A 19,456-nucleotide genomic window follows, 5' to 3' on the forward strand; every position below is an offset into this window, starting at 1 on the left:
TACACAACATCTTTGGTCCTTAGTTTTCTCCTCTGGCCTTATTAATGGCAGTCTCTTAGAATTGACACAGGATCAAATGAGAGAATGAACAGAGCTTAAATGGGTTTAGAACAGGCCTGGGACATAGCAAGAGCTTAATACATGTTAACTATTATTATAATTCTGTTTACACCTGATGATTATGATTACAAAAATTTAGATTCTGACTAACTGTAAGAATTCTTTTTTTTTTCTTTTTCTTTTTTTTTTTATTTTTATTTTTTGAGATAGAGTCTCACTCTGTCACCAGACTGGAATGCTGTCGTGCAATCTCAGCTCACTGCAACCTCCGCCTCCCAGGTTCAAGTGATTCTCCTGCCTCAGCCTCCCGAGTAGCTGGGACTACAGGTGTGTGCCACCACACCTGGCTAATTTTTGTATTTTTAGTAGAGACGGGGTTTCACCATGTTGGCCAGGATGGTCTCGATCTCCTGACCTTATGATCCGCCCACCTCAGCCTCCCAAAGTGCTAGGATTACAGGCGTGAGCCACTGCACCTGGCTAACTAAGTATAAGAATTCATACATTGAATCACTGTAAACATTTCAAGCAGCTAAAGAAAGAGCTTTGGGCATCCTACAACTGTCTTCTTTATATTTTTGTTTCAATTCCCTCATTTTATTGACCAGGATAAGCTAGATTATGCTGTGATTTGAAAAAAATAAAAATGATTCTGACAAAAGTGTATCACTCATTCTTCCAGGTCTGCTATGGGTCCAGATGACACACAACAGTCCAGGACAGCTGGTCACTTGTTGGTTTCATTCTCTCTTTGATATGGTTTGCGTCAGGCCTCTGAGCCCAAGCTAAGCCATCATATCCCCTGTGACCTGCACGTACACATCCAGATGGCCGGTTCCTGCCTTAACTGATGACATTCCATCACAAAAGAAGTGAAAATGGCCTGTTCCTGCCTTAACTGATGACATTCTCTTGTGAAATTCCTTCTCCTGGCTCATCCTGGCTCAAAAGCTCCCCCACTGAGTACCTTGTGACTCCCACTCTGCCTGCCAGAGAACAACCCCTCTTTGACTGTAATTTTCCTTTACCTACCCAAATCCTATAAAACAGCCCCACCCCTATCTCCCTTCACTGACTCTCTTTTCGGACTCAGCCCACCTGCACCCAGGTGAAATAAACAGTTTTATTGCTCACACAAAGCCTGTTTGGTGGTCTCTTCACACAGACGCGAGTGAAATTTGGTGCCATGACTTGGATCAGGGGACCTCCCTTGGGAGATCAATCCCCTGTCCTCCTGTTCTTTGCTCTGTGAGAAAGATCCACCTACGACCTCAGGTCCTCAGACCAACCAGCCCAAGAAACATCTCACCAATTTCAAATCCGGTAAGCAGCCTCTTTTTACTCTCTTCTCCAACCTCCCTGTCCCTCAACCTCTTTCTCCTTTCAATCTTGGCACCACACTTCAATCTCTCCCTTCTTTTAATTTCAATTCCTTTCATTTTCTGGTAGAGACAAAGGAGACACGTTTTATCCGTGGACCCAAAACTCCGGCACCGGTCATGGACTGGGAAGGCAGCCTTCCCTTGGTGTTTAATCATTGCAGGGACGCCTCTCTGATTATTCACCCAGGTTTCAGAGGTGTCAGACCATGCAGGGACGCCTGCCTTGGTCCCTCACCCTTAGCGGCAAGTCCCGCTTTTCTGGGAGAGGGGCAAGAACCCCGACCCCTTCTCTCTGTGTCTCTACCCCTTCTGCGCCTTTCTGGGGGGCAAGAAACCCCCAACCCCTTCTCCTTCACCCTTAGCAGCAAGTCCCGCTTTTCTAGGGGAGGGTCAAGTACCCCAACCTCGTATCTCTGTGCCCCGATCCCTTATTTCCATGCCCCGACCTCTTATATCTCTGCGCCTCAATCCCTTATTTCCATGCCCCAACCTCTTATATCTCTGCACCCCGATCCCTTATTTTCACGCCCCAACCTCTTATCTCTGTGCCCCAATCCATTATTTCCATGCCCCAACCTCATATCTCTGTGCCCCGACCCTTTTCCCGCTTTTCTGGAGGGTAAGAACCCCCAAACCCCTTCCCTCCATGTCTCTACTCTCTCTTTTCTCTGGGCTTGCCTCCTTCACTATGGGCAACCTTCCACCCTCCATTCCTCCTTCTTCTCCATTAGCCTGTGTTCTTAAGAACTTAAAACCTCTTCAACTCTCACCTGACCTAAAAGCTAAGCATCTTATTTTCTTCTGCAATGCTGCTTGACCCCAATACAAACTCGACAGTAGTTCCAAATAGCCAGAAAACGGCACTTTCAATTTTTCCATCCTGCAAGATCTAAATAATTCTTGTTGTAAAATGGGCAAATAGTCTGAGGTGCCTGACGTCCAGGCATTCTTTTACATATCAGTCCCTCTCTAGTCTCTGTTCCCAATGCAACTCATCCCAAATCTTCCTTCTTTCCCTCCCACCTGTCCCCCCAGTCCCAACCCCAAGTGTTGCTGAGTCTTTCTAATCTTCCTTTTCTACAGACCCATCTGACCTCTCCCCTCCTCCCCAGGCTGCTCCTCACCAGGCCGAGCTAGGTCCCAATTCTTCCTCAGCCTCCGATCCCCCACCCTATAATCCTTTTATCACCTCCCCTCCTCACACCTGGTCCGGCTTACAGTTTCGTTCCGTGAGTAGCCCTCCCCCACCTGCCCAGCAATTTACTCTTAAAAAGGTGGCTGGAGCTAAAGGCATAGTCAAGGTTAATGCTCCTTTTTCTTTATCCCAAATCAGATAGCGTTTAGGCTCTTTTTCATCAAATATAAAAACCCAGCCCAGTTCATGGCTGGTTTGGCAGCAACCCTGAGACACTTTACAGCCCTAGACCCTAAAAGGTCAAAAGGCCGTCTTATTCTCAAAATACATTTTTTTTACCCAATCTGCTCCTGACATTAAATAAAACTCCAAAAATTAAATTCTGGCCCTCAAACCCCACAACAGGATTTAATTAACCTCGCCTTCAAGGTGTACAATAATAGAAAAAAGTTGCAATTCCTTGCCTCCACTGTGAGACAAACCCCAGCCACATCTCCAGCACACAAGAACTTCCAAACGCCTGAACCGCAGCAGCCAGGCATTCCTCCAGAACCTCCTCCCCCAGGAGCTTCCTACAAGTGCCAGAAATCTGGCCACCAGGCCAAGGAATGCCTGCAGCCCAGGATTCCTCCTAAGCCACCTCCCATCTGTGCGGGACCCCACTGGAAATCGGACTGTCCAACTCACCTGGCAGCCACTCCCAGAGCCCCTGGGACTCTGGCCCAAGACTCCCTGACTGCTTCCCAGATCTTGGCTTAGCGGCTGAAGACTGACACTGCCCGATCGCCTGGGAAGCCCCGTAGACCATCACGGACGCTGAGCTTCGCGTAACTCTCACAGTGGAAGGTAAGTCTGTCCCCTTCTTAATCAATATGGAGGCTACCCACTCCACATTACCTTCTTTTCAAGGGCCTGTTTCCCTTGCCTCCATAACTGTTGTGGGTATTGACAGCCAGCCTTCTAAACCTCTTAAAACTCCCCAACTCTGGTGCCAACTTAGACAATACTCTTTAAAGCACTCCTTTTTAGTTATCCCCACCTGCCCAGTTCCCTTATTAGGCCAAGACACTTTAACTAAATTATCTGCTTCCCTGACTATTCCTGGATTACAGTTACATCTCATTGCTGCCCTTCTTCCCAATCCAAAGCCTCCTTTGCGTCCTCCTCTTGTATTCCCCCACCTTAACCCACAAGTATAAGATACCTCTACTCCCTCCTTGGCGACCGATCATGCACCCCTTACCATCTCGTTAAAACCTAATCACCCTTACCCTGCTCAATGCCAATATCCCATCCCACAGCATGCTTTGAAAGGATTAAAGCCTGTTATCACTCACCTGCTACAGCATGGCCTTTAAAAGCCTATAAACTCTCCTTACAATTCCCCCATTTTACCTGTCCTAAAACCAGACAAGCCTTACAAGTTAGTTCAGGATCTATGCCTTATCAACCAAATTGTTTTGCCTATCCACCCCATGGTGCCAAACCCATATACTCTCCTATCCTCAATACCTCCCTCCACAATCCATTATTCTGTTCTAGATCTCAAACATGCTTTCTTTACTATTCCTTTGCACCCGTCATCCCAGCCTCCCTTCACTTTCACTTGGACTGACCCTGACACCCATCAGGCTCAGCAAATTACCTGGGCTGTACTGCCACAAAGCTTCACAGACAGCCCCCATTACTTAAGTCAAGCCCAAATTTCTTCCTTATCTGTTACCTATCTCAGCATAATTCTCACAAAAACATACGTGCTCTCCCTGCTGATCGTGTCTGATTAATCTCCCAAACCCCAATCCCTTACAAAACAACAACTCCTTTCCTTCCTAGGCATGGTTAGTGCAGTCAGAATTCTTACACAAGAGCCAGGACCGCACCCTGTAGCCTTTCTGTGCAAACAACTTGACCTTACTGTTTTAGCCTAGCCCTCATGTCTCCGTGCAGCGGCTGCTGCCGCCCTAATACTTTCAGAGGCCCTCAAAATCACAAACTATACTCAACTTACTCTCTACATTTCTCATAACTTCCAAAATCTATTTTCTTCCTCATACCTGACGCATATACTTTCTGCTCCCTGGCTCCTTCAGCTGTACTCACTCTTTGTTAAGTCCCACAATTACCATTGTTCCTGGCCCGGACTTCAATCCAGCCTCCCACATTATTCCTGATACCACACCTGACTCCCATGACTGTATCTCTCTTATCCACCTGACATTCACCCCATTTCCCCATATTTCCTTCTTTCCTGTTCCTCACGCTGATCACGCTTGATTTACTGATGGCAGTTCCACCAGGCCTAATCGCCACACACCAGCAAAGGCAGGCTATGCTATAGTACAAGCCACTAGCCCGGCTCTTAGAACCTCTCATTTTCTTTCCATCGTGGAAATCTATCCTCAAGGAAATAACTTCTCAGTGTTCCATCTGCTATTCTACTACTCCTCAGGGATTATTCAGGCCCCCTCCCTTCCCTACACATCAAGCTCGAGGATTTGCCCCCACCCAGGACTGGCAAATTAGCTTTACTCAACATGCCCCGAGTCAGATAACTCTGATAACTAAAATACCTCTTAGTCTAGGTAGACACTTTCACTGGATAGGTACAAGCCTTTCCTACAGGGTCTGAGAAGGCCACTGCAGTCATTTCTTCCCTTCTGTCAGACATAATTCCTCAGTTTAGCCTTCCCACCTCTATACAGTCTGATAACAGACCAGCCTTTATTAGTCAAATCAGCCAAGCAGTTTTTTAGGCTGTTAGTATTTAGTGAAACCTTTATATCCCTTACGGTCCTCCATCTTCAAGAAAAGTAGAACGGACTAAAGGTCACCTCACCAAGCTCAGCCACCAACTTAAAAAGGAATGGACAATACTCTTACCACTTTCGCTTCTCAGAATTCAGGCCTGTCCTCGGAATGCTACAAGGTACAGCCCATTTGAGCTCCTTTTTATTAAGCCCCAGTCTCATTCTAGACACCAGACCAACTTGGGCTGTGCCCCAAAAAACTTGTCATCCCTACTGTCTTCTGTCTAGTCATACTCCTATTCACCGTTCTCAACTATTCATACATGCCCTGCTCTTGTTTACACTGCCAGTTTACACTGTTTCTCCAAGCCACCACAGCTGATATCTCCTGGTGCTATCCCCAAACCGCCACTCTTAACTCTAAAGGAAATAAATAATCTTTACTGGCAAGGCTATGCTGAACCTCCTTAGGCACTCTCTAATCAGATGTCCTGGGTCTTCCCAATTCTTAGTCCTTTAATACCTGTTTTTCTCCTTCTCTTATTCCTTTTAGTTTTTCAATTCATACAAAAATGTATCCAGGCCATCACCAATAATTCTAAATGACGAATGTTTCTTCTAACAGTCCCACAATATCACCCCTTACCACAAAATCTTCCTTCAGCTTAATCTCTCCCACTCTAGGTTCCCACGCCACCCCTAATCCCGCTCAAAGCAGCCCTGAGAAACATCGCCCATTCTCTCTCTCCATACCATCCCCCAAAATTTTCACCGTACCAACACTTTACCACTATTTCATTTTATTTTTCTTATTAATATAAGAAGACAGGAATGTCAGGCCTCTGAGCCCAAGCTAAGCCATCATATCCCCTGTGACCTGCACGTACACATCCAGATGGCCGGTTCCCGCCTTAACTGATGACATTCCACCACAAAAGAAGTGAAAATGGCCTGTTCCTGCCTTAACTGATGACATTCTCTTGTGAAATTCCTTCTCCTGGCTCATCCTGGCTCAAAAGCTCCCCCACTGAGTACCTTGTGACTCCCACTCTGCCCGCCAGAGAACAACCCCCCTTTGACTGTAATTTTCCTTTACCTACCCAAATCCTATAAAACGGCCCCACCCCTATCTCCCTTCGCTGACTCTCTTTTCGGACTCAGCCCGCCTGCACCCAGGTGATTAAAAGCTTTATTGCTCACACAAAGCCTGTTTGGTGGTCTCTTCACACGGACGCGAGTGAAAGTTTGGATTTGTGTCCCGACCCAAATCTCATGCCAAATTGTAATCTCCAGTGTTGGAGGAGGGGCCTGGTGGTAGGTGATTTGATCATGGGGGCGGATCTCCCCCTTGCTGTTCTCGTGATAGTAAGTGAGTTCTCATGAGATCTGGTTGTTTAAAATTGTCTAGTACCGTCCGCTGCTCTCTTCCCCCTGCTCCAACCATGTAGGCCGTGCCTGCTTCCCCTTTGCTTTCTCCATGATCGTGTTTCTTGAGGCCTCCCCCGCCATGCTTCCTATACAGCCTGCAGAACTGTGAGTCAATTGAACCCCTTTTCTTTATAAATTACCCATTCTCAGGTAGTTCTTTATAGCAATGCAAGAACAAACTAATACATTCCTGCTTCTGTCTCAGGGCGCCTCCACAGCAACATGCACATCCCTGATCAATTGTTGTGAGAGGGAAGAGCAGGCTAACAGGCAGTCACGACTAACACGTAATACTTCCCCTCACTCGCCTTGGCCAAAGCATATCGCAAAGCATGCTTATCCTTTAGGGGCAGCAGGTGGGGAAAAGCAGCCCACTCACCTGCCAAAAGTGGAGGAAAAGCAGACATCAAAGAGGAGTGGTAATTCCTGCCATGATTGTAAAGGATCATATTAATCACTTCTCCAGTGACTGCGGCTTGGCTGTTGTAATTTCTCAAAGTTCTTAATAAAAAGCTATCGTTACGTTACAAATCCAATAGAACACTTAACAAAATTCCATAGCAGGTGTTAAAGGTCATGAAAGGAGAGCTCTACTAAAACATTGTTAATTCCCACCTAATTTCAGGGATTTGTGGTAGCTTCTTTTCCCACTCTGAACGCTGATCTTGCCCCATACTAGAAGAAAATAAGTTTCTACCTCCCTGTCCTCACAGAACCAAAAAAAGAGACCTAATTATTGGATCCAATCCAATGTAGAATTTGGACTTTAATCCATATCATTATATGACTTTTCTAAGCAGGGGAACAACCCACAGAAAATCACCTACAGAAGAAAGAGATGTTCCTATTTCAATGGCTTCTTTCAACTTTCCTCCCTTCTCTTGAAAAATAAAAACTTTCTGGTTAATTCTCTGACGTGTTTAAGCTGCCTCTTTAGCTTGTTTTTTTCATTCACTGTCAAATTACTGAAACAAGTAATATCTTCTAATTCTTGTTCATCATTTTCTATTTCCTTATTTAATGTAATTGTCAAATTTGATCTTCAAATCTGCATCCAATCTTAATCACCCCAGCTACAGACACACTGTACCACTTGAGTATTTCACTTCACCTATCTAGAATCACGTTCATACTTTTCCCCACCAAGCCAGTACTCTTGGTTGCTTATTTTAGTTAATATTTTGCCCAAGTTTGAAACGTCAATAAACTTTGAAATCTTCATCCATTTTAGCCCTAAATTGTATCCATCAACAGAAGCTATTAATTCTTTTTATGAAATGTCTCTTTTGTATGTTGTTCCCTTTCAATTTTTCACCATCATTATACGTAGTGTGATGCTTTGTACCTCACACCTGGACCATCAACATCCTCTTCTAACTGGTCTCCTTTGCTGCAGGCTTTTCTGCACCTTCTGATTTCAGCATGCCACCTGCATAATCATCCTAAAACATCACTTTTGTTATGTTAATTTCCCAGCGGGGGTGGGAAGGACCCTTTTATAGCCTGCCGCTACATACAGCGTAAATACCAACCCCTTTTCATCATTGGAGCTTTTGTCTTGGGCATGAATTTCCTCCTACATAAAATCAAATTGCTCACTGGCCTTAAGAAGGATCATCTATTTTCTCATTCTCTGCCTTTCCCCAGCCATCCCTCTGCCTGGCATGTGGCCTCCCATCCTCACTTGGACAAATCCCTTTTGTCATTTACAGCTTAGTCCTAATGCCTCCCTACACTCTTTCTGAACCATGGTTAGCTCTATAAATATAACATCATTTGTGTACGAGTAGTCACAGAACAGCATCCCACAGAATGCCACTCAGATGTCTTTTTCTTGGTCAACATGGTGATGGTGTTTTTGCTGCTATTTAAACTAAATTTTAATGCTTTCAGGGACCACGTATACTCTTCAGTTCCCTTAGCACTTGAGTTCCAAAACCCTTGTCTATGTCATGTCATGCTGGTGGCATTATTTCATGATTTTTATCTGTAAAATTTTAAAAATGTATTGTTTATTTTTCTGACTAACTTGTATGTTTCCTAAGGTCAGGGAAATGTTTTATACAATTAGAAATTTAAGCAGGGCAAGAGGAGTGGAAAGCACTTTGTAAACATAATTAGCCAAAGAGTTGCTGAGTGCTACATCTCTTTTATTCCAAGCCCTTCAACACTAAGACCAGGAGGGTATCTTAGAACCACTCAGGTACAGAAATGGTTTCAGTCACTGGGGAAGAGAAATGAACGTTTTCTCTTTTTTCCTCTGCTTTGCACCAAACTGAAAACACTCATTTTCATGTAATTTATGGATTCCTTCAGCTTTTTACTCCCGTTAAACTTAATTACTCGAAGAAAAATTTCTCATGTAAAAACATTCCTTTGGGAGATCTTCAAATCCCAAATAAAAGAAGTAGGTGTCTAAGCAGGTAAGTCCAATATGAAAAATTGAGGAAAGATTATTTTAAAAAAAAAAATCAAATTCAGCAGAAGGAAGCAAAGAATCTCAGTTGTTTACAATGGTTTGAAGATGGGAATGAAAAAATATTTGCAGGAAATATTTGGAGAAAAGAACAGGAGTAGGAATATAGTAACGATTAAAATAGTCAATAAACTACTATATATGAAGTGCCTGATACCAGCCAAGATTTCACAGACCATATACCACGGTAACCATGTGACGTTGGTATGGTTGTTTTCATTCCAAAGATAAATAATCAAAGTTCACGGAATCTACCTGAAGTTACACCACTGATAAGTGATAGCATTGGGATTTAAACAGGCATCTGAACCAAAAGCCTCCATTCTTAGAACTAGAATACACAGTGTCCTAATAGAATAAAATAGAAATAGTAGGCTTAGTAGATGACAGTTCATATACTAGTTTAACTAATAAAAACTTATAAGTTGATTTAAAAAAAGTACGTAATTCAGAAGAACGCTTCTAACACTGTCATGACATAAACAATGGTTGAGAAGAACTATTGCCATGTGAAATGAATAAGAAAGGGAGTGCTAGACATAGACACAGTATTACAAGAAAAGACCATGGCAGTAGGTTACAGAGTGCTCAGTCTGGGCTTTGACTTTGAGCTGAGGGAGACACAAGACAGGAAATGCTAGCAAGATCACTGGTGAGGGCAGAGGTTGCAGCTGATATTATGAAACGGTTCAGTCTTTTTGGGATGATGATTTTGCAATATGACTCAAAACCAATAAAATGATTACGCCATATGAAACGGGAATCTCACCTCTGCAGACTTAACTCAGAAGAGTAATAAAAAAAGCAGGGAGGGGGGTGCAGGGAGGTAAAGGAGCATGACTGAACAAAGATACTGATAGCTGCATGTATTTATAAAAGAAAACAAAAACTAGTAATAATATGGATGGTTGTGGAAATATTTGGTAAACTACAGAATATTATATAAAGCTATGAAAATGCTAAATGTGATTGCTTAGAAACCTCAGAAACTATTTAAAATTGGTCAAAGGGAAAAGTAAAGCATTAATATTGAATGCACTATAATACTAGCTACAATTTTTGGATAATTACTCTTTGCTGAATTCTGTTCCAAAGTGTTACATGCATTAACTCACCGAAAATTAGTAAGTAGGCCAGGTGCAGTGGCTCACACCTATAATCCAAGCACATTGGGAGGCCAAAGTGGGGAGGATTGCTTGACCTCAGGAGTTCAAGACCAGCCCAGGCAACATGACAAGACCCAACCCTGTCTGGGCAAAAAATTAAAAAATTAGTTGGACAAAGTAGCACGTGCTTGTGATTCCAGCTACTTGTGAGGCTGAGGCAGGAGGATTGCTTGAACCCAGAAGGTTGAGGCAGCAGTGAGCCATATTAATGCCACTGTGCACCAGTCTGGGTGACAGAGCAAGATTCTATCACAGAAAGGACAGGCAAAGGAAAAGGAAAAGGAAAGGAAAGGAAAGGGAAAAGGAAAGGAAAGGAAAAGAAAGGAAAGGAGAAAAGAGAAGAAAAGAAAAGAAAGGAAACCAAAAATTACTGAAGAGGAATTAGCATGACTTAGAAGTAGAATATAAGTGGAATAGACTATTTTGTTTCTACTCTGTATAAGGCCTTGTAGCGTCTTAAGAGATTTCCCTGGTGATGGTTTCTTTCAATCCTTCTTGGGATGTTAAATTAAGTTCTGCAGTCTTCTCACAATTTTGGTTTCAAAACATAAAAACGCCTCATAAGTAATATTTACCAATATTGTTCATATGTAACTAGTTGAAATATATACCTGCAGACACAGAGACTTTCATTCACAAAACAAGAAATTATAGTAATAACGACATAAAAATCAAGCCAACTTTGTTTTATTGTACTTTACAGACATGGTGTTTTTCTGGTTTTTTGTTTTTTTTGTTATTTTTTTTTTGGAGATGGAGTCTTGCTCTGTTGCCCAGGCTGGAGTGTAGTGGCCCGATCTCAGCTCACTGCAACCTCTACCTCCTGTGTTCAAGCAATTCTCCTGCCTCAGCCTCCCAAGTAGCTGGGATTACAGGCGCCCACAACCTCACCTGGCTAATTTTTGTATTTTTAGTAGAGACAGGGTTTCGCTATGTTGGCCTGGCTGGTCTTGAACACCACACTTCAGGTGATCTGCCTGCCTTGGCCTCCCAAAGTGCTGGGATTACAGGTGTGAGCCACCTTACCCGGCCTCTGTTGTTGGTGGTGGTTTGCTTTAAGCACGGGCTCTCACCATGTTGTCCAGGCTGGAGTGCAGTGGCTACTCACAGGCGCCATCATAGCTCATGCCTCCAACTCCTGGCCTCGAGCAGTCCTCCGCAGTAGCTGGGACTACAGGCATGCACTACTGCACCTGGTCTGACCTTGAATTTTTTACAAGTAATGGAAGGTTTGTGGCAACTCTGAACAGAGCAAGTCTGTTGGTACCATTTTTCCAACAGCATGTACTCACTTTGTGTCTTTGTGTCACATTTTTGTAATTCTTACAATGTTTCAAACTTTTTCATTATTAACATATCTGTTATGGTGATCTGCAATCAGTGATGTTTGATGTTACTATCGTAATTGTTTGGGGGCGCCACAAACCACACCCATGTAAGGTGGTGAACTTAACCAATCAATGTCTGTGTTCTGGCTGCTCCACCCACCAGCCATTCCCCTGTCTCTCTCCCTCTCCTCAGGCCCTCCCTATTCCCTGAGAAATAACAATATTGAATTTAGGCAAGTTAGTAACCCTACAATGACCTGTAAGTGTTCAAGTGAATGGAAGAGTCACAAATCTCTCCTTTTAAATCAAAAGTTAGAAATAATTAAGCTTAGAGAGGAAGGCATGTCAAAGCTGAGACAGGCCAAAAGCTAAGACACTTGTGCCAGTTAGCCAAGTTGTGAACGCAAATAAAATGTTCTTGAAGGAAATTAAAAGTGCTACTCCAGTGCACACATTAATGATAAGAAAGCAAAACGGCCTTATTGCTGATATGGAGAAAGTTTGAGTGGTCCGGATAAGAAGATCAAACCAGCCACAACATTCCTATAAGCCAAAGCCTAATCCAGAGAAAGGCCTTAACTCACTTCAGTTCTTTAAAGGTTAAGAAAGGTGAGGAAGTTGTAGAAGAAAAGCCTGAAGCTATTGGAAGTTGGTTCATGAGGTTTAAGAAAAGAAGACACGTCTATAACACAAAAGTGCAAGGTGAAGCAGCAGGTGCTGATGCAGAAGCTGCAGCTAGTTTTCCAGAAAATCTAGTTAAGATCATTGATGAAGGTGGCTACACTAAATAGTAGATATTTAATTTAGACAAAACAGCCTTCCATTGAAAGAAGATGCCATCTAGGACTTTCATCTCTACAGAGAAGTCAGTCCCTGGCTTCAAAGCTTCAAAGGACAGGTTGACTGTCTTGTTAGAGTTAACGCAGTTGGTGACTTTAAGTTGAAGCCAATGTTCATTTACCATTCTAAAAGTCCTAAGGCCTTTAAGAATTATGCTAAATCTATTCTATTTGTGCTCTAGAAATGGAACAACAAAGCCTACCTCCCATCTGCTTTCAGCATGATTTACTGAATATCTTAAGCCCACTATTGAAACCTCAAACAAAAAGATTTATTTCAAAATATTACTGCTCATTGACAATTCACCTGGTCACCTAAGAGCTCTGATGGAGCTGTACAAGGAGATTTATGTTGTTTTCATGCCTGTAACACAACATCCATTCAGCAGCCCATGGATCAAGGAGTCATTTTAACTCTCAAGACTTATTATTTAAGAAATTCATTTTGTGAGGCTATAACTGCCATAGATTGGGATTCCTCTGATGGATCTGGGAAAGTAAATTGAAAATCTTCTGGATATGATTCACCATTCTAGATTCCATTAAGAACATTCATGATTCATGGAAGGAGGTCAAAATATCAGCATAACAAGAGTTGGAAGATTGTTACCATTTTTTAGCAATAAAGTATTTTTAAATTAAAGAAGGTACACTGCTTTTTAGACATAATGCTATTGCACAGTTAATAGACTACAGTATAGTGTAAACATAACTTTCACATGCTGGGAAACCAAAAAATGTAAAAGTGTGATATTCACTTTATTCTAGTGGTCTGGAACCAAACTTGCAATATCTCTGAGGTGTGCCTGTAGAAAAAGCCTACACAAAATGTACCAGGAGTGAAATATTTCCCTAGCTCTGTAAAAAAAAAAAAATTCACCTCTTAAATGTATCATTTGTGTTTCAAAGTAGTAAGCATTTCATACTATAATCTTTTTTTAAATAAAATGGGATGAAACATTGTAAAAAGATTTGTGCACACTCAAATTTTCAAATTGGATTTAATTTCTCAGCATTTCGGAGGTTGTAGCAAACAGAAAGACATATTGTTCTCTTTAGGATGCGACTGTGTAAATGCAAGAGTTATGTATGTGTTTGTATATATATATATACATACACACTAAATGCTGTATATACATGTGTATATCTATTTAAACATTTCTTCCATTAATCATTTCATATGACCTACTAAAAATAAATCCCAAAGGCATACTGCAATAAATGACACCACATCCAACTTTTGCAAACTGCAAACTGTCACTGTAATGTCACATTTCATTTCAACCCAATTTCAAGACTATACCCTTCCAATTCTCAAAGGTGATTTAAGCTATACTCAAGCTTAAAAGGTTTCAACTTTAGTTAATGCCATCTTCATTGTTGCCTGAACCTAAACTATTAGGAGCAAATTAATGCAGCAAAGCAGTCAGTGATATTGTTATAAACAAAGGAGACATTTTCTTGCATGACTTTTAGAAAATGAGTTTTTGACACTAGACAAACCACATGTGTATTGTTTTAATGGACATCAAGAAATTACTAACTTAAGGCCTATAAAAAGAAAACAGTTAAAGCTTCTATATAGCAAATACTGAACTGCATTGTGCATATAACACATGCAAGTTTTTTTAAATACCCATATTACATACCATTTAAAAGAGGTCCTGTGGTTGAGTGTTGTAGGCAAAGGAATTTTATCCATTGTTTCTAATACTACTTCAAACGGGATCATTTGAAACCTTGATTAAAAAGGTATACTGGTATGTCAGGTCAGATATTAGGGAAGAGGAATGTGCTTTTTAAGACCCATTATACAATTTTTGTTATTTGAGAAACAGAAAGTAAGAAACAAAATAACACATAGGTTTTAAAAACATAAAGCTTGCAACACCACCCATCTTTAAATTTCTTCTATCAAAAGGTTATATAAAGAAATAAAATGATCAAATGGAAGAGCACATGGAGGCATACACCAGCATTGCAAAAATCAATTTAAGAAGTGCAACTGCAGTTGTCTTTCCTGGGTTTTTAATTATGTGTTTGTTTGCCATGGTGGCCTAATTTAGTCAAGAAGATGAGCCAACATTAAAAGCTGGTAGGAGAGGTAAGTAATCCCCAGGGTGGGCTGCTTGTGCTCAAGAGTTTAAAAGCTACATAGACAGAGGCAGAAGCCAAGGCACATTTGAGAAGGGGGTCTGCATGACACACAGTGAAAGGCGAGCAAATCAAATTTTTCACAATTAGTTGAACAACAACTGTGACAGGTTTAGCGCTTAGCATTTTCATTTGTGTGCTCAAATTTGGTTATCTGTCCTCTTTTATGCAAATGCGATGTGACAGGAGAAGCTGGGAGCACTGGAGCAGGCCAATCATTCACAACAGGGGCTAGGGCTGAGCGGCTGAGAGGCCCGGATTAAATGGACTGAATGCTGATGGATAAATGACATGAGCCACGCTGAAAGCCTCATGAACTGATTTAAAACTTCTAAGGGAGGATGCCAAGGATATAATTATGCTTTATGCCCCGGCCTAAACTGTCAAAAATAAAAAGATAAAAGAAGAATATAAATTGTACCAAATGAATATTATCAGCATTCATAATTTAACTAAACCCAACATGTTTATCCTACACTGGAAAATAGATAAGATTGGAAAGCTGTGTTCTTCTACCACAGGCCTTAGGACTGAAGCAAAGTTTAAAAATTTACAAGTGAAGCACAATGGAAAGGAATTCCAGGCATCCAGCCTTCTTAATGGGGTGCCATCTCTAGGAGGGCAAGCATCCCCTCTACAAAGTTGGTATAGCCCGTTCATCTTTAACTGTTTCTTGACTCCATGGTACTAAGGTGATTTTGCAAAGGGGGCAGGTTCAGGGTGGCATCTCCTTTACATATAGGGCCTTGGGAGCACACCCACCAGCCCCGAGCAGGCTCTGAGGGACCATTTTTATGAATTTGTTGAGTGTCTGTCCTCTGTCCCACCCAGCACTAACATTCTATAATTCTATCAGGTTGAAAAAGTTGAAAAACAGTAGGGCTTGTTATCTTGTTTGCTTCACCTAGATCTTATGATTTTACCATCTCTCCAAGTTCTTAATAGAATGCTTTAAAACACTAAATTTCTTAGACAGCAACTGCCTGTCTGAAAACAGGAATCTCAACTATTGTCTTTGGTTCTTTTCAACATGACTGCAATTTCTCTATTATATTATTAATATCACTACACACATACACACACAACATTCTGAGAAGACATCAATGATTTTAGACAAAAAGACAGGAAAAGTCCACATGTATGTATCTTATAAGTAAGTAACATAGACATAAAGGGAGAATGTAATCTTAAATTCTTTTTAGAGAAAGGGAGGATGCCAAACAGTACAATACAATATGAAGGCAGGCAGAAAGTGAAGATGGTAGCAAAGTCAAACCATGTTTGAATGAGTTGTGTAATGCCTATATTCAATAAAATAAGTACATACATGTTAAAATAAAATATAATTTTCTTCAATAGTTGATGCTATTAGCTAATAGCAGTTTTTCCATTCTAGAAGAATCTTTGACATAATTTGTTAGTCCATTCTTAAAATTTATCAGTGTTTGCCACAGTATTAGCCTCCATAAAGAATGTCACAAAATTCAGAAAATGTTAATTGGTACACATATATATTTACAGGAACATCAAATTCAAAATACTAATACCTTGTGCAATATGCTAATATGTACAAAGTAATTAAATGTGTCTCACATTTAAGACATCTGAATATTACAAATAAAAGGGCAAACCACTTTTAAAATTTTTTATAGAAGTAAAAATATATACACAGAAAAGTGCACAAATCATAAGTGTGTCTAGTGGTGACATTTCATAGTAAACACACTGTGTAACCACCATCCAGATCAAGAAAGGGAGTGTCCCCAGTAGAGCAGAAGTCCCTGCCATGTCCTTTCTCAGTCACTGGCTCCTCCAAATGTAACCACTTCTCTAAATTCTGTCAGTGCAGCTTGGTTTTGCCTGCTTTTGAAATTCATACAAATCAAATTACATAAAATCTTTTCTTTGTGCTGGTCTTCTTTTGTGTGTGAGTGTTGGGGTGGGGGGTGTCTGACTTTACTATTATGTTTGTGGCATTTATCCATATTCCTGTGTAAGCAGCAGTTTATTCTTTTGCTTTGCATGACATTCCATTTTATTTACAGAATATTCTACCATTGGTGAACACCTAGGTTATTTTCAGTTTAGGGCTATTACAAATGCTGCTATGGACATTCTTGTACATTTACTCTGGTGCTCATGTATTTTCATTTCTACAGAGTATAGAGCTAGGAGTGGGATTGCTGGGTCTGTGGATGTACAAATATATTTTAATATGAATTTATAGCATTAGTGGATTCTCCATAGCAATTTTCTAAAATGGAACCAAGCACTCTATATAGTAAAGAAACACACTGTACCCTGTGAAATTTTCTTTAAGGTTACAAAAAGAAAAAACCAGCAAGAAAAAGAAAATTGGCCAAAACTAAATACACACATGACATGCACAACTCAAATTTAGAAAATAATGTGCCTAAATCAAAACCTAAATGTTATTTTCTCCTAGCCCTGCCCCAACTGTGTATGTCTCACTGTGAAAGGATAGGAGGGGCAGTTTTGCTGTCAACTCTGATGCAATCTGCTTAAGGAGTTCATTAATTGTACTGTAAAATGATGATCTTGTTGAGGGGCCTCTCAAAAAGTGCTATGAGGCTAAAACTAGATATATCTGCCTGCAAAGTCTAATCTTATATGGCAGACATAGCACCCAATCTATAGCATTCAGAACATGGATCACATTTTTATTCCTCTAACACGTCTGGTTTTATCTTTTTGGGACAACAAAAGGTTTGTTGCAGTCTTAATCTGTAAATGTGCTTTTCCAGTAGGTTAAATGGGCAGAGTGCTCACTGTTCAGCCTCTTATCTATGCTTACCCAAGAGAGGGCCCAGATTACTCGAGAAGCCTAAGCAGGCTGCTCTGCTGCCACGATGGGAACACGCAGTTTAAGATGCAAATCCAATTGCTAACTTTATCTGCTGGGCATGCTAACACATGGCGACAGCTCCGAGTATCAGCAATGAAACCCTCCAGACAATGGTGAAGTCTATGTCAGGGAAATTTGCAGTCGGGTTCACCTTGCTCTGCCCAACAGTTTTCCGTTTTCTTTTTCCTCCTTTTTCTTTCTTTTTCTTTCCTTTCCTTCTTTTCCTTTCTTTCTTTCTTTTATTCTTTCTTTCTTTCTTTCTCTCTCTCTCTCTTCCTTCCTTCCTTCCTTCCTTCCTTCCTTCCTTCCTTCCTTCCTTCCTTTCTTTCTTTCTTGACATTTCACTGATTTTATTATTCTGAGTTTGGGGAAGGCAAAAATCAAAAACGGTTGTTAAAGGAGACAAAATCTGTCATAAGTATATAAACACAAGAAATATTTACAGTTAACATTGCAAAATCACACAACAAACAACAATGATTATTAGAAATGTAACCTTTTTTAAAAAAAAGCAAAGACTCAAGTTAGCCAGATCTGGTGGTACATGCCTGTAGTCCTAGCTACTCAGGAGGCTGAGGTGGGAGGATCACTTGAGCCCAGGAGGTTGAGGCTGCAGTGAGCCGTGTTTGTGCCACTGTACTCAGCCTGGGCCACAGTGCAAGACTCTGTCTCAAAATAAATAAACTAATTAAATAAAGGTAAGAACTGTTTTCAAAAACTATTTAAGAATATATGAAAAACCATCAACAGTTAACAGATTATTTTGGTGACAAAGGGAAACCTCTACTAATATGGGAAGAGAATAATTTAGTTATTTTTATTAAAAAAAACAAAAATCTAATTTTACTTCTTTTGTTCATTATTCATATAGTTACTTGTAGTAAAGTATTTATTAATATAACTTCATAAGTACATATTTAGTCATACATGGATATATAAATACAGATAGGCAACAGCTTTAAAGTTTTTTGGCTATAGTTTCAAAATAAAATTAACTTAATATGATAAATAAAATATTGTATACATTAATTATAGTATTACCTTCTTGATCAGCTATAACTTTTTAATAAACATAAATCATGTGTCATCTGCTATACATATTCATATTTGTAATTATTTTACCTTGTATAATCAACCGTTCATATTATCTTTTTTCCTTTTTTTAACTGCATGAGTCTATGAAGTCTATGTATGTAGTTTTTTTTTAAGTATGAGTCTGGGAAGTCTATATATGAGTATATGAAGTTGACAAAACTATGTATGAGTATATGAGTAGTCAAAACTAATATATGATGATAAGACTCAGAGCAGTGGATGCTTCTTTTCCCCAGCAGTTTTCAACAGCTCATAAGGAGAAGGAGTTGGAATCTGCATCTCATCCCTTCCCAAAGGCCTCAGGCCTGAGAATTGTACTTCTCTCCAGAAACCAAGATGGTATTTTTCCTTAATTGTTTTTGTTTTTTTCTTAATTGTGTCTTAGGTTTTGGCTTTTCACACACATTATTAGTGAAGTCTTCGCTCACTAGTACCCAATCAACTTGTCCTCCACAGGTTCCACATCACCTTTCTTCGAGGGACAGACTCCTCTTCTTGACCTCCGTCTCCATGTTCCCTCATGACACTTCACTGTCCTTCTCCAGCATGGACACTCTTTCCATCACTACCGCCCTGGAGAAGCTAGGTCCTCTTCTGGGAAGTCACTCCTTCCCAAAACCTCACACGAATTTTCTGAGGAGCAGCCCCAGTGCCCCCTTCTCAGCCAACACACCCACCTCCATTCTCTCTGAGCATCCAGTTTTGGTCAGCACAGTTCTGCTCTCCCCCTTCCAAGCTGTTCCCAAGGTTATCATCCAGGGATATGTAAGTTTCCATCTG

The 19,456-nt window shown here is 40.8% G+C and overlaps 3 annotated features.

Moving 5' to 3' along the window:
* Window positions 6,031-6,749: an enhancer, noted in NCBI's record as "OCT4-NANOG-H3K27ac-H3K4me1 hESC enhancer chr13:79853422-79854140 (GRCh37/hg19 assembly coordinates)". NCBI's record gives its function as "activates a minimal SCP1, AML or CMV promoter by ChIP-STARR-seq in naive H9 embryonic stem cells {active_cell/tissue: H9 hESC(naive)}" and the evidence as "EXISTENCE:reporter gene assay evidence [ECO:0000049][PMID:30033119]".
* Window positions 9,982-10,961: an enhancer, noted in NCBI's record as "H3K27ac hESC enhancer chr13:79857373-79858352 (GRCh37/hg19 assembly coordinates)". NCBI's record gives its function as "activates a minimal SCP1, AML or CMV promoter by ChIP-STARR-seq in primed H9 embryonic stem cells {active_cell/tissue: H9 hESC(primed)}" and the evidence as "EXISTENCE:reporter gene assay evidence [ECO:0000049][PMID:30033119]".
* Window positions 14,960-15,548: an enhancer, noted in NCBI's record as "NANOG-H3K27ac hESC enhancer chr13:79862351-79862939 (GRCh37/hg19 assembly coordinates)". NCBI's record gives its function as "activates a minimal SCP1, AML or CMV promoter by ChIP-STARR-seq in primed H9 embryonic stem cells {active_cell/tissue: H9 hESC(primed)}" and the evidence as "EXISTENCE:reporter gene assay evidence [ECO:0000049][PMID:30033119]".

Source organism: Homo sapiens, chromosome 13 (genome assembly GCF_000001405.40).
Source record: "Homo sapiens chromosome 13, GRCh38.p14 Primary Assembly".
Taxonomy (NCBI): domain Eukaryota; kingdom Metazoa; phylum Chordata; class Mammalia; order Primates; family Hominidae; genus Homo; species Homo sapiens.